At 42.9% G+C, this 14,561-nt stretch overlaps 1 annotated feature.

Annotated features, from left to right (window-relative positions):
• Positions 2,116–2,333: a silencer, noted in NCBI's record as "fragment chr21:33013320-33013537 (GRCh37/hg19 assembly coordinates)". NCBI's record gives its function as "represses an EF-1alpha promoter that drives an FKBP-Casp9 reporter gene in an ReSE screen in K562 erythroleukemia cells {active_cell/tissue: K562}" and the evidence as "EXISTENCE:reporter gene assay evidence [ECO:0000049][PMID:32094911]".

Here is a 14,561-nt window from a genome sequence, read left to right as displayed (position 1 = left end):
TATTTTTTGAGACAAGGTCTCACTCTGTCCCCCAAGCTGGAGTACAGTGGCACGATCACACTCATTGCAACCCCAGCCTCTCAGGCTCAAGCAATCCTACCTGTTCAGCCTCCTGAGCAGCTGAGACTACAGATGCATGCCACCATGCCTGGCTAGTTTTTGTAGAGATGGGGTTTCACGATGTTGCCCAGGCTGGTATCAAACCCCTGAGCTTAAGCAATACTCCTGCCTCCGCCTCCCAAAGTGCTAGGATTACAGGCATGAGCCACCACACCCAGCCCTTAAATTGTACTTTATTTTCATGAAATAAATTATTTTCACATAGTTCAGAAACCAAAACATAAAAGAGAATAGGCTGGGCACGGTGGCTCATGCCTGTAATCCCAGCACTCTGGGAGGCCAAGGTGAGCGGATCACCCGAGGTCAGGAGTTTGAGACCAGCCTGGCCAACATAGTGAAACCCCCGTCTCTAGTAAAAATACAAAAATCAGCCTGGCGTGGTGTGGGCTTGTAATTCCAACTACTTGGAGTCTGAGGCAGGAGAATCTCCGGAACCCAGGAAGCAGAGGTGAGCCGAGATTGCACCACTGGACTCCAGCCTGAGCAACAGGGCAAAGACTGCGTCTCAAAAAAAAAAACGAAAAAAAGGGAATAGATGGGAGGTTTTCACTTCCATCTTTAGTCACGTGTATGTACCACTATTTATTTATTTATTTATTTGAGACAGAGTCTCACTGTCGTCCAGGCTGGAGCACAGTGGCACAATCTTGGCTCACTGCAACCTCCACCTGGGTTCAAGCGATTCTCCTGCCTCAGTCTCCAGAGTAGCTGGGACTACAGGCACGTGCCACCATGCCCAGCTAATTTTTGTATTTTTAGTAGAGATGAGGTTTCACCACATTGGGCAGGCTGGTCTCGAACTCCTGCCTCAAGCAGTCCACCCACCTCGGCCTCCCAAAGTGCTGAGATTACAGGTGTGAGCCACCACACCTGGCCTGTACCACTATTTATTGAACTAACCCTTATTACAATATTTTTTTGGGGCTGCCATAACAAATTACCACAAATTGGGTGGCTTAAAACAACAGAAATTTATTTTCCCACAGTTCTAGAGGGCGGATTTGCAAAATCAAGGTCTCAGTGGGGCTGCAGTCTCTCTAACAGCTCTAGAAATGAATCCTCCCTTGCCTCTTCTAGCTTCTGGTGGCTCCTGGTGTTCGTTGGCTTATGGCCCCATCACACCAATCTCTGCCAATGTGGTCACATGGTCTTCCTCTCTATATGTGTCTTGTTTCTGTGTGTCCTCTCCTCTTCTTCCAAGGACACCCATCATTGGGTTTAGGATCAACTCTAATCCCGTATTGTGGTAGGAGTTATTAAGAAATTATTTTAGGCAGATAGAGAGGAAAAGGGGTCCTTGGGAAGTTTTCATTTTTAAAGCTGTTCCAGAAAGGTTTCTTGTCAAGCCCAGGCTCTTAGAGCCAGGCCAGCAACCTTTGATATGCACATGCTGGCCATTAGAAACTGGGTCTACCCAAACATGACAATTCCCACCCTCTTCTTCTTGCCCTTGCCCCACAAGTGCCTGGCAAACATGGCCGCCCCCACGTATCCCCACGTGTGTAGAACATCATGGTGCTCTGCATTTGCATATTAAAAGGCTAGGGTGGGTGGACCAGCTTTTTCCCGGGCTGCGTGAATGACATGCCTGGTCAAACCAATCCCCTGAGCCCTGTGCAAATCAGACACCGCCTCCTCCAGCCTCTATATAAACTTAGCTGGTTTTCACTCCACTTGGTGTCTACTCTTTCGGCTTTGGAGCCTCTCTGCCTCTTGTCTCTGTACGAGGGAGCTTCTTCCTTCTGCCTTCTCCCTTCTTGCCTATTAAACTTGCCTATTAAAACCACTCCACGGCCGGGCGCGGTGGCTCACGCCTGTAATCCCAGCACTTTGGGAGGCCGAGGCGGGCGGATCACGAGGTCAGGAGATCGAGACCATCCTGGCTAACACGGTGAAACCCCGTCTCTACTAAAAATACAAAAAATTAGCCGGGCGAGGTGGCGGGCGCCTGTAGTCCCAGCTACTCGGGAGGCTGAGGCAGGAGAATGGCGTGAACCCCAGGGGGCGGAGCCTGCAGTGAGCCGAGATTGCGCCACTGCACTCCAGCCTGGGCGACAGCGAGACTCCGTCTCAAAAAAAAAACAAAACAAAAAAAAACAACAAAAAAAAAACCACTCCACTTGTGTCCATGTTGTTTTATCTAAACCGGCATGAGGACCAAGAACCCTTGTGTTCCTCCACTCATCGGAGCCATATCAATATGCCCTCATCTTAACTCAAGGGTCCCCAATCCCTGGGCTGCAGACCAGTACCAGTCTGTGGACTGCTAGGAACCGGGCCACATGGCAGGAGGTGAGTGGTGACAAGTATTACCACCTGAACTCCGCCTCCTGTCAAATCAGTGGCAGCATTAGATTCTCATATCAGTCCCTGGTGCAAAAAAGGTTGGGGACCATTGTCTTAACTAATCACATCTGCACAGACTGTATTTCCAAGTAAGGTCACATTCGCAAGTATGCCATGGATTAGGACTTAAACTTATCTTTTTAGGGGACACAATTCAACATATCACACCTATGGATGGACTTGTAGATGTTTTCAATTATTTGCTATTAGAACAGATGTGTATTTTCTATGGACATGTATATATTCTTATGGACTTGTGGAATGCTTCTGAGATACAAATTGCTCAAAGTATATATGCCAGCTCACAAGTTGTTGCCAAATTGTGTTTCAAAATGGTTGTGCTTACAGCCTGGCCAACATGACAAAACCGCATCTCTACTAAAAAATACAAAAATTAGCGGGGCTTGGTGGCGCACCGCTGTAATCTCAGCTACTCGGGAGGCTGAGGCACAAGAGTCACTTGAACCCAGGAGGCGGAGGTTGCAGTGAGCCGAGATCACGCCACTGCACTCCAGCCTGGGAGACAGAGTGAGATCTTGTCTCAAAATATATAAAAATAATAAAATGAATTTAAAAAACAAAATGGTTGTGCTTAATTCCATTCCTACTCTGTTTATTTCCCTACAGCCTCACCAAACCATAATACCAGTCTCTTTACCTACCAATCTGAGAGGTGAAAAAGAAAACCTCATTTTAAATTTCTACTTATTTGATTATTCATGCTAATGAGTACATGTTCATGTGTTCATTGGCTTTGTGTAAGTCTGTGAAATGCTAGCTGTTTCTTATTCCCTGTTGAGGTGCTGGTCTATATTTTATTTAATCTATTTTAGACATTTCAAGGGCTTTTTGTAAGGTCATAATCTTTTTATTGTTGTTGTTCTTTTATTGAAAGGAACTTGATCTTTTATATAAACTTAAAGCAACAGATTGTGTGAAATTACATATCTACAATGTAAGGCTATTAGCTATGTGAGTATGGGAAGTGTTTAATAAGATTATGATACTTGTGATGGGTACAATTTATGAACAGAGAGAGAGAGAGAGAAGTGTAAATAGTTACACCAGAAACAAGATGTGATTGAAAGAATGTCAGTGAGTGGGACCTTATATGAATCTGTGAGAAGGTAAAAAAAAAAAATCCATTTCCTAGCCAGGCACGGTGGCTCACACCTTCCAAAATAGTCCAGCACTTTGGGAGGCCGAGGCAGGTGGATCACTTGAGGTCAGGAGTTCTAGACCTACTTGGCCAACATGGTGAAACACTGTCTCTACTAAAAATACAAAAATTAGCCAGGCATGATGATGGTCACCTGTAATCCCAGCTACTTGGGAGGCTGAAGCAGGAGAATCACTTGAACCTAGGAGACTGAGGTTGCAGTGAGCCAAGATTGTGCCACTGCACTCTAGCCTGGGCAACAAAGCAATAACTTGTCTCAAAAAAAAATCCCTTTCCTTCATTTTATTTACTTTATTTTATTTTTTGAGACAGAGTCTCACTCTGTTGCTCAGGCTGGAGTACAGTAGCACGATCTTGGCTCACTGCACCTTCCACCTCTCAGGTTCAAGTGATTCTTCTGTCTCAGCCTCCCGAGTAGCTGGGACTACAGGCACGTGCCACCACGCCCATCTAGTTTTTGTATTTTTAGTAGAGATGGGGTTTCACCATATGGGTCAGGTTGGTCTTGAACTCCTGACCTCGTGATCTGCCTGCCTCAGCCTCCCAAAGTGCTGGGATTACAGGCGTGAGCCACCACACCGGCTATTTTATTTTATTTGAGACTGAGTCTCACCCTGTCACCCAGGCTGGAGTGCAGTGGTGCGATCTCGGCTCACTGCAACCTCTGCCTCCCAGGTTCAAATGATTCTCCTGCCTCAGCCTCCCAAGTAGCTGGGACTACAGGCACACACCACCATGCCAGATAATTTTTGTACTTTTTTAGCAGAGACGGAGCTTCACAGTGTTGGCCAGGCTGGTCTCGAACTCCTGACCTCAAATGATCTGTCCACCTAGGCCTCCTAAAGTCTTGGGATTAGAGGTGTGAGCTACCTTACCTGGCCCCTTTTCTTCATTTTAAATGAGGACCTCCAGTTAAGATATCAAACTGGTGGTAAATATTCAACAGACTGTGTGCCCATCCTGACTTTCTTTTTTCAACACAGAGCCATTTAGTTTATAATTAAAAATAGTGAGGGGGTGGCCAGGCGCGGTGGCTCACACCTGTAATCCCAGCACTTTGGGAGGCTGGGGCAGGCAGATCATTTGAGGTCAAGAGTTCAAGACCAGTCTGGCCAACATAGTAAAACCCTGTCTCTACTAAAAATACAAAAACTAGCCAGACGTGGTGGCAGGCACCTGTAGTCCCAGCTACTTGGGAGGCTGACGCAGGAGAATTGCTTGAACGTGGGAGGCGGAGGTTGCGGTGAGCCAAGATTGCACCACTGTACTCCACCCTGGACAACAGAACAAGACTCTGTTTCAAAAATAAAAGTAAAAATAAATAGTGAGGGAGCAATTCCACTTCTGGGTATATACCTACAAGGATTGAAAGTAGGACATGAGTAGATATGTGTATACCTGTGTTCATAGCAGCAGTATTCACAATAACCAAAAGGTGTAAGCAACCCAAGTTTCTATTGTCCGATGAATGAATAAGTAAAATGTAGAGTATCTATTCAACAGAATATTATTTATTCTTAAAACAGAAGGAAATTTTGAAACATGCTACATCACTGATAAACTTTGAAGACCTTATGTTAAGCAATATGTGCCAGACAAAAAAGAACAAATAGTCCAGGTGAGGTGGCTCATGCCTATAATCCCAGCATTTTGGGAGGCCAAGGCAGGAGGATTGCTTGAAACCAGGAGTTTGGAAACAACGTGGCCAACATAATGAGATCCTGTCTCTACAAAAAAAATTAATTAGCCATGCAAGGTAATGCATGCCTGTAGTTCCAGCTACTTGGGAGGCTGAGGCAAGAGAATTGCTTGAGCCCAGGAGGTCAAGGCTGCAGGGGGCTATGACCATGCCACTGAACTCCAGTCTGGGCAACAGAGTGAGATCCATCTCTACAATACAATAAAATTAAATGACAAATATCATATGATTTCACTTATATGAGATAAACAGATTAGTCAAATCCATAGAGACAAAGAGTGGAATGGTGGCTGACAGGTGCTAAGGCAAGGGAGGGATGAAGAGTTATCATTTAATGGGTATAGAGTTTTAGATTTACAGGATGAAAAGAAGTCTGGAGACTGGTTCAACAACAATATGAAATACTTAATGCTACTGAATTATACACTTAAAAATGGTCAAGAAGTGCCTGGTGTGGTGATTCATGCCTGTAATTCCAGCACTTTGAGAGGTCAGGGCAGGAGGATCACTTGAGCCCAGGAGTTTGAGACCAGCCTGGGCAACAAAGCAAGACCCTGTGTCTACGAAAAATAAAATAATTAGCGGGACATTGTGGCCTGTGCCTGTAGTCCCAGCTAATCTGGAGGCTGAGATGGGAGGATCCCTTTTGCCCAGGCATTCGAGGCTTCATTGAACTATTATCACACCACTGCATTGAAGTCTTGGCCACAGAGTAAGCCCTATCTGTAAATAATAATAATATTAATAATAATAAATAATAAATGGTTAAGAGGAGAATGTATAAGGACATGTACAAGGGAGCCCCTATAAGACTATAAGTTGATTTCTCAGTGGAAACTTTGTAGGCCAGAAGGGAATAGGGTAATATAATCAAAGTACTGAAAGGAAAAAAAAAACTTGTCAACTAAGAATACTATGCCTGGCAAAATACTCCTTCCAAAATGAAGGAGAAATGAAGTTTTCCCACGAAAAACAAAAGCTAAAAGATTTTATTACCACTAAACTTGCCGTACAAAAAAATGCTAAAGGGAGTTCTTCAAGTTGAAACAAAAGGATGCTAAAACAGCAAAACAGTTGCATAAGAAAATATAAAACTTACTGGTAAAGGTAAATACAAAGACAAATACAGAATACTGCAATACTGTTATGGTTGTGGGTAAATCACTTTTGATTCTAGTATAAAAGTTAAAAGACAAAAGCATTATAAATACCTATAGTTAAAGGATACATTAATAGATACATAAGATAAGTACATGTAAATTATGACAACATAAAGCGTGTGTAGGGGGTAATAAAAGTATTATGTTTTGTATACAATTGAACTTAAGTTGTTATCAGCTTAAAATAGACTGTTCTAACCATAAGATTGTTTTTGTAAACCCCATGATGATGACAAAGAAAATATCTGTAAAAATTACACAAAAGAAAAAGAGGAAGGAATAAAAGCATATCAATACAAAAAAAAAAAAAACAAAACAAAAAGGAAGACAGCAAGAGAGGAACAGATGGACAAAAGAATTATAAGACTAACACAAACCAATTAATAAGGCTGGGCATGGTGGCTCATGCCTGTAATCCCAACACTTTGGGAGGCGAAGGTAGGCAGATCACCTGAGGTCAGGAGTTTGATACCAGCCAGGCCAACATGGTGAAACCCCATCTCTACTAAAAATACAAAAATTAGCCAGACGTGCTCACTTGAACCCATGAGGCAGAGGTTGCAGTGAGCTGAGATCGTGCCACCACACTCCAGCCTGGGCGACAGAGCAAGACTCTGTCTCAAAAAAACAAAAGCAAAAACAAAAAACAATAAAATGGCTGTAGTAAATTCTTCCCTATAAATAATTACTTTAAATGTAAATTGATTAAACCCCCTAATCAAAAGATATAGAATGGCTGAGTGGATAAAAAAACAAGACTACATGCTGTCTATAAGAAACTCACTTTAGATTTAAGGACACACATAGAGCAATGTGTGTCCTTAAACATATTCCATGCAACTGGTAAACGAGTGCAGAAGTGGTTATACTTGGATCAGACAAAATAGAGTTAAAATTTAAAACTGTCATAAGAGACAAGGAAGGACATTATATAATGATAAAACGGCCAATTCACTAGGAAGACATAACAATTATAAATATTCACTCAACATCAGAACACCTAAATATGTAAAGCAAATGCTGATAGAACTAAAGAGAGAAAGCAATACGATAATATCTGAGCCTCTGGCTACTTTGTAAAAAGGAAAAAAAAAAGCAATACAATTACAGTAACAGACTTCAATACCCCACTTTCAATAGTGGATAGAACATCCAGATAGACTATTGATAAGGAAACAAATGATTTGAACACTGTACACTAAATGGACCTGACAGACATACAGAGAACATTCCACCCAACAGCAGCAGAATCCACATCCTTTTCAAGTGCATGTGGAATATTCTCCAGAGTAAATTGTAGTGTTAGGCCACTGCCTTCATCCATGTTGTGCTGCTGTATGAGAATAGCTGAGGATGGATAATTTGTAAAGAATAGACATTGATTACTCACAACTCTGAAGGCTGGGAAGTGAAAGATCAAGGTGCTGGGGTGCTGCGAAGTTTGGCTGCATCCTTCAGAGGGGAAGAACGCTGCTCCTCACATGGCAAAAGTGCAGAAGATGATGAACCCACTCCAAATCGCTTGTTCAAGTGCAGCATTAATCCACTCACAAGGATAAAGCCCTCATGACCTAAACACCTCCCATTAGGCCTCCCTTCCCAAAACTGTTGCATTGGTGATTAAATCTCCAACATATAAGTTTAGGAGGGGACAAACATTCAAACCATAACAGTCACGAACAAGTCCTAACAAGTTTAAGAAGACTGAAGTCATACCAAGTATCTTTTCTGACCACAGTGAAATAAAACTAGAAGCCAATAGCAGAAAAAAACAGCTCTGAGGCCAGGCATGGTGGCTCAGGCCTGTAATCCCAGCACTTTGGGAGGCCAAAGCAGGAGGATCACTTGAGCTCAGGAGTTCAAGACCAGCCTGGGCAACAAAGTGAGGTCTCATCTCTACTAAAAAAAAAAAAAAGGAAGAAAAGAAAATCAAGAAAATTAGCCAGGTGTGGTGGCATATGCTGATAGTCCCAGCTGCTCTGGAGGCTGAGGCAAGAGGATCGCTTGAGCCTGGAGGACTGAGGCTTCAGTGAGCCATAATTGCACCACTGCACTCCAGCCTGGGACAGCAAGACTCTGTCTCAAAAAAAAAAAAAAAAAAAAAAGGTAAATCAAAAAAAATCTTAAGATGAATAGAAATGGAAATTCTACATACCAGCTGGGTGCAGTGGCTCACACCTGTAATCCCAGCACTTTGGGAGGCCAAGACAGAAGGATTATGTGAGCCCAGGAGTCTTAGAACAGCCTGGGCAAGATAGTGAGACCCCTTCTGTACAGAAACAAACTAACTAACAAAAAATTAGCCAGGCATTGTGGCAAATACCTGTAGTCCCAGCTACTTGGGAGGCTGAGGCAGTAAGATTTATAGAGCCAGGGAGATCAAGGATGCAGTGAGCTATGATTGCACCACTGTGCTCCAGCCTGGGCAACAGAGTGAGACTCCATCTCTGAAAAAACTAAATTAAATTAAAAATAAAAATACTACATACCAAAACTTATGGGTTGAATCAAAAGCAGTACTAACGGGGAAGTTTATAGCAATGAATGCCTATATTAAAAAGAGGAAACATCTCAAACAACCAAACTTTACATCTCAAAAAACTAGAAGAAGTGGCGTGAACCTGGGAAGCAGAGCTTGCAGTGAGCCGAGATCGCGCCACTGCATTCCAGCCTGGGTGAGAGAGCGAGACTCCATCTCAAAAAAAAAAAAAACCACTAGAAGAAGAAGAACAAACTATGCCCAAAGTTAACAGAAGAAATGAAATAATAAAAATTAGAGGAGAAATCGACAATATAGAGAATAAAAAATAGAAAAAAATTGGCCAGGCGCAGTGGCTCACACCTGTAATCCCAGCACTTTGGGAGGCTGAGGCGGGCAGGTCACAAAGGCTGAGGTGGGAGTATCGCTTGAGCTCAGGAGTTCAAGACCAGCCTAGGCAACATAGCAAGACCCCGTTCAATATTTAGGAACAAATTTAACTAAGGGGTGAAACACTTATAAACAGAAAACTACAAAACATTGATAAATGAAATTGAAGAAGATCCAAATAAATGGAAAGACTTCCCATGGTCATGGATTAGAAAACTTAATGTTGTTAAAATGTCCAATGCTACCCAAAGTCATCTACAGATTGAATGCATTCCCTATCAAAACTGCAATGGCATTTTTTACAGAATTAAAAAAAAAAAAGCAATTCTAAAATTCATGTGAGGCCAAAAAAGACCCCAAATAGCCAAACTAATCTTGAAAATGAAGAGCAAAGCTGAAGGCATCACACTTCCTGATTACAAAATATTTTACAAAACTACAGAAATGAAAACAATATGGTACTGGTATGAAGACAGCCATATAGACCAGTGGAACACAATAGAGAGAGACTTAACAGAATCTGCAAATAATGGTCAACTGATCTTTGACAGGGATGCCAAGAATACATAATGACAAAAGTCTCCTCAACAGATAGTGTCGGGAAAACTGGATATTCACATCTAAAAGAATGAAATCGCAGCCTTAATTTACACTATCCCAAAAATCAACTAAAAATGGATTAAAGACTTAAATATTAGACCTAAACTATAAAACTCGTAGAAGAACACATAGGGGAAATCTTCATGCTATTAGTCTTGGCAGCGATTTCATGGCTATGACACCAAAAGCACAGGCCACAAAAGCAGAAATAAATAAGTGGTTCTACACCAAACTAAAAAAATTCTGCAAAGCAAAGGAAATAATCAACAGAGTAAAAAAGGCAATCTACAGGGTGGAGAAATGTTGGCAGACCATACATCTGATAAGGGGATAATTTCCAAAATACATAGGGACTACCTACAACTTGATAGCAAAAAAAATAATGATAACCCAATTTTAAAATGGGCTAAAGACTTGAATAGACAGTTCTCCAAAGAAGCCATCCAAATGCCCAACAGAAAGACACTCTGTCACTAATTGTGTAAGGCTGTTCTTGCACTACTATAAAGAAATCCTAAGACTGGGTTATATATAAGAAAAGGGGTTTAATTGGCTCACGGTTCTGGAGGCTGTACAGGAAGCATAGCAGTTTCTGCTTCTGGGGAGGGCCCAGGAAGCTTCCAATCATGGCAGAAGACAAAGGGGGAGCAGGCACATCACAAGGCAAGAATGGGAGCAAGAGTGGGAGAGATTCGGGGGAGGTGCCACACAATTTTTTTTTTTTTTGACAAGGTCTTGCTCTGTCACCCAGGCTGGAGTGCAGTGGCACGATCTCGGCTCACTGCAGCCTTGACTTCCCTGGCTCAAGCAATCTTCCCACCTCAGCCTCTCCAGTAGCTAGGCCCACAGGCATGCACCACCACACCCAGCTAATTTTTGTATTTTTTGTAGAGATTGGGTTTCACCATGTTGCCCAGGCTGGTCTCAAACTCCTGGGCTCAAGAGATCCACCACCCCAGCCTCCCAAAGCCACACAACCAGATCCTGTGAGACCTCATTTACTATTTTGAAGATAGCACCAAGCCATGAAGGATCCACCCTTATAACCCAAACACCTCCCACTAGGCCCCACCTCCAGCATTGGGGATTACAATTCAACCTGAGATTTGAGTGGGGACAAATATCCAAACTATGTCACTAACCATCAAAGAAATGCAAATCCAAACCACAATGAGATATCACCTTACACCTGTCAGGATGGCTATTATCAGACAAAAGACAAAAAGCTCTGGTGAGGATATGAAGAAACTGGAATCCTCTTACGCTGTAGATGGGAATGCAAAATGGTGCAACCGCTATGAAAAATAGCATAGAGGTTCCTCAAAAAATTAAAGATAGGGCCGGGCGCAGTGGCTCATGCCTGTAATTCCAGCACTTCGGGAGGCCAAGGTGGGCGAATCACCTGAGGTCAGGAGTTCCAGACCAGCCTGACCAACATGGTGAAACCCCATCTCTACTAAAAATACAAAAAAAAAAAAAAAAAAAAAAAAAATTAGCTGGGGGCATGCCTGTAATCCCAGCTACTCAGAAGGCTGAGGCAGAAGAATCGATTGAACCCAGGAGGTGGGGGTTGCAGTGAGCCGAGATCGTGCCATTGCACATCAGCCTGGGCAACAAGAGTGAGACTCCTTCTCAAAAAAAAAAATTAATTAATTAATTAATTAAAAATAGAACTACCATATGACCCAGCAATTCAACTTATGGGTATTGATCCAAAAGGATTGAAACTGGAATCTCCAAGAGTTATTAACACTGCCATATTCATTGCAGAATTATTCATAATAGCCAAGATACAGAAACAGCCCAACTGTCCATTAGCAAATGAGTGGATAAAGAAAGTGTGGAATACACATGCAGTGGAATGTTATTATTCAGCCTTAGAAAAGAAGAAACTTCTGCAATATGGGACTACATGGATGAACTTTGAGACATTATGCTAAGTGAAATAAGCCAGTCACAGAAGAACAAATACTGCATGATTCCACTTAAAATTAGTATCTAAAATAGGCCAATTCATGGAATACAAAAGTGAAACGGTAGTTGCCAGGGGCTGGGGAAAGATCAATGGAAAGTTTCTTTTTTCTTTGTTTTTGAGACAGAGTCTTGCTATCTCACCCAGGCTGGAGTGCAGTGGTGTGATCTTGGCTCACTTCAAGCTCAACCTCTCAGGTTCAAGTGATCCTCCCGCCTCAGCCTCCCGAGTAGCTGGGATTACAGGTGCGCACCACCACACCTGGCTAATTTTTGTATTTTTAGTAGAGATGGGGTTTCACCATGTTGGCCAGGCCAGTCTCAACTCCTGACCTCAGGTGATCCACCTGCTTCAGCCTCCCAAAGTGCTAGGATTACAGGCATGAGCCACTATGCCCGGCCTCAATGGAAAGTTTCTAATCAACAGGCATAAAGTGTCAGTTAAGCAAGATGAATGAGCCCTAGAGACCTGCTGTACAACACTGTACTTATATTTAGCAATACTGTATTGTATACTTGAAAACGTATTAAGAGGGTAGCTTTCATGTTAAGTATTCTTACCACAATAAAGTTATTCTTTTTTTTAAGTGTGCCACAAATTGAGGAGTATGATTAAATCTACCTTTGGAACCCGAGTTCCAAAATGAAATAAAATAAATCCAACATAAAAATTTTAAATGCTTTAACTATTAAAAATACTATTAAGGCAAATTTTACAAGAGGTAAGATTCAGTTATCATGGAGACTAAGTTAAGATTTTCAGTTCCTAGAGAATTTTTTCCTCCAGAACTGAAAGCTAGCTCACAGGGGTATCTTTTGTCCATTTGTTTTTTGAGACAAGGTCTCACTCTGTCTCCCAGGCTGGAGTGCAGTGGCATGGTCTCAGCTCACTGCCTCCCAGACTTAAAGGAACTTCCCACCTCAGTCTTCCAAGTAGCTGGGACTACAGGCGCACACTACCATGCCCAGCTAATTTTTGTATTTTTTGTAGAGACGAGGTCTTGCCATGTTGCCCAGGCAGGTCTCGAGCTCCTGGGCTTAAGCGATCCACCCGCCTTGGCCTCTCAAAGTGCTAGGATTACAGGCATGAGTCACCGCATCTGGCCTTTCGTCAAATTTAACCTTGCCTGTCTTGTTCATTATTAAACCTCCAGTCCAGGCATAGTGCCAGCACAGAGTCAACTCTAATAAATATTTGATGAATAAGTCCATATCAAAACAAAATGCAAGCTGCTTCCATTCTGTAATTCCGCATTTTGCTAATGAAAGGATATTTGAGTCATAGAAATCAGCAAAGTAGGTAGTATTTGTTGTTCATTCATGGAGATGATAGGTGAGAACCTCAGATTTTAGGCTTGGCCAAGATCTCAGTCTGTTAAAACTGGACAAAGATGGAAAGTTTCTAATTGAGTAGGCATGGAAGCCAGAGATGCTAGCAAAGTCCCTTTAGGGCAGCCAGAATGACCCTTATGAAGGGCAGTCATAATTTTGATCATGTCACGTTCATGCTGGAGAAAGAGTGAGCCAACTATGAAATGGCCACTGGGACAAATATGGTCTTAGGTGGTCAATCTACGGACCCCTAGATTTGAAAGACCATAACAGACTCTTGTCTGAGGATGTCAGCTGAAGCCTCAAACCGAGAATATAAGTGACAAGTGACAAGCCGCTGACATTTCAAAGTGAGGAGTAAAGGCAACCCCACATAACTTGCTAAGAGGTGGCAGGACCAATTCTCTGACCTGGAACCCATTCCTTTCCTGCAGGCTGTCAAGGGGAAAGGGAGGATCCATAGGCACATCAGAGCAATCCTTTCTGTGAAGAGTGTGGTTAGCTTGTGGGGAAGGGATGATTTTCCACCCCACCCCTCCAACTCAAGGCAAGTAACTCTGCTTCCAAAGAAGCCCACCTGGAATGTGGGTGTTGCCTGCCAGTAAGGGAGAAACCCTGGATGCCAGGGTCAAGCCTGAGGAAGTCCAGGAGATGGCTAGCGGAAGGCAGGCCTGCGAGGGGGAGTTATGGGAAGGAGAAGGACTTGTACATTTTATTTTTGCTCTCTGTTCTTTGTCTTCTTCTTCTTCTTTTGAGATGAAGTTTCGCTCTTGTTGCCCAGGCTGGAGTGCAATGGTGCAGTCTCAGCTCACTGCAACCTCCACCTCCTGGGTTCAAGCAATTTTTCTACCTCAGCCTCCCAAGTAGCTGGGATTACAGGCGCCTGCCACCATGCCCAGGTAATCATTTTTGCTCTTTTTTCTATTTAATTGTTTTTCTTAATTGTGAATATGTATTACTTTTGTAATTTTTTTTTTTTTTTTTGAGATGGAGTCTCACTCTGTCACCCAGGCTGGAGTGCAGTGGCACAATCTTGGCTCACTGCAACCTCTATCTCCCAAGTTCAAGCGATTCTCCTGCCTCAGCCTCCCAAGTTGCTGGGATTACAGGTATGTACCACCATGCCCGGCTAATTTTGTATTTTTAGTAGAGATGGGGTTTCTCCATTGGTCAGGCTGGTCTCAAACTCCTGACCTCAGGTGATCCACCCACCTCGGCCTCCCAAAGTGCTGGGATTACAGGCATGAGCCACCGCACCTGGTTGAGATCGGATGTTTTTAAAAA

This window comes from Homo sapiens, chromosome 21 (assembly GCF_000001405.40).
Source record: "Homo sapiens chromosome 21, GRCh38.p14 Primary Assembly".
In the NCBI taxonomy this organism is placed as follows: domain Eukaryota; kingdom Metazoa; phylum Chordata; class Mammalia; order Primates; family Hominidae; genus Homo; species Homo sapiens.
Note: the sequence above shows the minus strand (reverse complement) of the source record. Positions and strands in the feature narration are given on the sequence as shown.